Raw genomic sequence first — 3,509 nt, 5'->3', positions numbered from 1 at the left:
TGGAAGGCTGAAATGGGAAGATAAATTGAGCCCAGGAGTTCAGGGATGCAGTGAGACATGACCATGCCACCGCACTTCAGCCTGGGTGACAGAGACAGACCCTGTCTCAAAGAAAAAAAAAAAAAAAAACTAGCAAATTAAATGTAACAGTGCATTGAAATTGAAAAATAATAAATACATTATGGTGAGGCTGAATTTATCCCAGGGAGGTGAGGATGAGTCAACATATATAAATCAATAAATGTGATATATCACATAAACAGAATTAAGGACAAAAACTATATTATCACCTCAATAGATGCAGAAAAAGTAACTGACAGAATTCAGCATATTTTATGATGGAAAATTCTCAACTATGAATAGAAGGAACATACCTCAACATAATAAAGGCCATATATGACAAATATGACAAACCCACAGCCAACATTATAGTTAACAGAGAAAAGTTGAAAGCGTTCCCTCTAAGAACTGGAACAAGGCAAGGATGACCACTTTCACCACTCTTATTCAACATAGTACTAGAAGTCCTTATCAGAGCAATCAGGCAAGTGAAAATAAAAATTAAAGGCATCCAGATTGGAGAAGAGAAAGTCAAATTATGCCTGTTGGCCAATGATATAATCTTACGTCTAGAAAGCTCTAATGATGCCACCACAAACCTCTTATATTTGATAAATGAATTCAATAACATTTCAGGATACAAAATTAATGTACTGAAATCAGTAGTGATTCTATACACAAATAATTCTCTAGCTGAGCACCAAATCAAGAAGGCAATCACATTTACAATAGCTATAAAAATGTCTAGGAATATATTAAACCAGGGAGATGAAAGATCTTTATAAGAATTACAAAACACTGATGAAAGAAATTGTAGATGATGGAAAAACATCCTATGCTGATATGGTTTGTTTGCGTGCCTACCCAAATCTTACCTTGAATTGTAGCTCCCATAATCCCCACATGTCAAGGGAGGGACCTGGGGCAAGGTAATTGAATCATGGGGGCAGGTTTTTGCTGTGCTGTTCTCGTTATAGTAAGTCTCATGAGATCTGATGGTTTTATAAAGGGCAGTTCCCCTGCACATGTGCTCCTGCCTGATGCCATGTAAGACGTGCCTTTACTCCTCCTTTACCTTCCGCCATGTTTATGAGGTCTCCCCAGCCATGTGGAACTGTGAGTCCATTAAAGCTCTTTTTCTCTATAAATTACCCAGTCTCAAGTGTGTCTTTATTAGCAGCATGAGAACTGACTGATATACATGATCATGGATTGGAAGAATCATTATTAAAATGACCATACTGTGATATGGTACACATGTGTAATATTTGGAATAGATATGGTATAGTATTACAGGTATAATGTAGGAAAGCACATTATCTTGTATAATCAGACTCTTCTAGCTAATCCATATGCTTATATTTAATTGTGATGTTTCACTTGACATAGCACTTTACTGATTACACCAGTTTTTACATATCATTAAATGAGCCAGATTATATGAATTCATTTGGAAAGCCTCAAGTGCCACCGAAAGGCAAAACACTTGATGGGTTATTAACAGTTATTGAGCACTAGTTTTTTGCCAGGTATTCTGTGTGACATGTGTAGGTAAAGGACATGATCACTGCCTTGGAGGACCTCAGAGAAAACAATTTAAATAGTGCAGTAAATGCTGCAAAGAGGGAAGCACAAGATGATATGGAACCACAAACAACAACCACCTAGCCTAGACTTTGTGAGAATATGTAGAGCTGCCTACCAGTGGTGACATCCAAACTCAGATCTTAAAGAAAAGAGTCATACAAATAGAGGTAAATGAGGATTTTAGGCAGAGTACACTACAGAGACAAAGGAACCACATGCATGAAGTACCATTTAAGATATTGTATTAGTTTGTTCTCATACTGCTATGAAGAAATACCAGAAACTAGGTAATTTATAAAGGAAATAATTTTAATTGACTCACAGTTCTGCATTGCTGGGGAGGCCTCAGGAAAACTACAATCATGGCAGAGGCAGAGGAGAAACAGGTACCTTCTTCACAAAGTGGCAAGATGGAGTGAGTGCAAGCAACGGAAATGCCAGACACTTCTAAAACCATCAGACCTCATGAGACTCACTCACTATCATGAGAACAGCATGGGGGAAACCACCCCCATGATCCAATTACTTTCACCTGTTCCCACCCTTGACATGTCGGGATTGTGGCAATTACAATTCAAAGTATGATTTTGGGTGAGGGCACAGCCAAATCATATCAGATATTGACTAAGAAGATATACTGGGAAACTCAGAGCTCTTGCTTCTGCACCAGCTCTGACATTTACACTGTTGTAAATGTATGAAAGCAAATCAATTCCTATGAGCCTTAATTCCCCTATCTCTAAAATGAGAGTTATTATATCTTCTGTAAGAGGTGTTTGAGAGCTATATAAACCAAAGAAGAGAAAATATGTAATGTGCCTAGAACCGCAGACAGACAAACGTGCAGTGCATAGTAGCTCTCACTAGTACAATGTGTTTTGATATATCAGTGCTGTGACCAGCCTGCACTCTGGTCAGGACGTTTTGGTCTCATGGAATTGCTGCTTTGCTCTTTCATCAATGGCTGTTTTCTTTTTGGCTCAGTTCCAGTGCCTGAAGAACCATTGATCAGCAGTGAGAGGAGGCCTTTGATAGGTGGCCAAGGCAAAGCAGAGGGTTGTCATGAATAATGTGGTTCAGAAGTACAGTTTATGAATGAAGAAGGAGAAAAAAGCTTTCACCTGATCTGCCTTTTGGTCTATGAGTAGAAAGTTAAGCAAAAAGAGAGCAATTAAAAAAATTTAATGAAAAATACGTATTTGGAAAGAATGTGATATTTCTAACAGACCTGCTTATTGTACACATTGGCTCCTTCCTTTCTCTCTTACCTTATTCATGCCATGCTCAATCTGGAAACTTCATCCAGCAGTAGACAACTATTTATAGTTTCCTGGAGACACTGTGCTATTTAATACCTCCATGTCTTTATATAAACTCTTTCCTCTGAATGGATTATCTTTCCTGACCTCCACTCAGGTCTGATTTCAGCTATGAAAATTTCTCTTATTTCTTATCTAAAAACAAGATTAATAGCACTTTGGGAGGCCAAGGTGGGCGGATCACGAGGTCAGGAGATCGAGACCATCCTGGTTAACATGGTGAAACCCCATTTCTACTAAAAATACATAAAAGTAGCCAGGCATGGTGCTGTGTGCCCGTAGTCCCAGCTACTCGGGAGGCTGAGGCAGGAAAATGGCGTGAACCCGGGAGGCAGAGCTTGCAGTGAGCGGAGATCATGCCACTGCACTCCAGCCTGAGCAACAGAGCAAGACTCCATCTCAAAATAAATAAATAAATAAATAAATAAATAAATAAATAAATAAATAAATAAATAAGCTACTTGTTTCTTGACCATTTTATGACGCTTCTCTATTGGAGTCATCACTGCTTCTTGAGCTGAATCTATATATGGCCATGTAAAG

Source organism: Homo sapiens, chromosome 8, assembly GCF_000001405.40.
Source record: "Homo sapiens chromosome 8, GRCh38.p14 Primary Assembly".
NCBI lineage: Eukaryota > Metazoa > Chordata > Mammalia > Primates > Hominidae > Homo > Homo sapiens.
The sequence above is the reverse complement of the archived record's forward strand: the minus strand, read 5'-3'. Positions refer to the sequence as shown.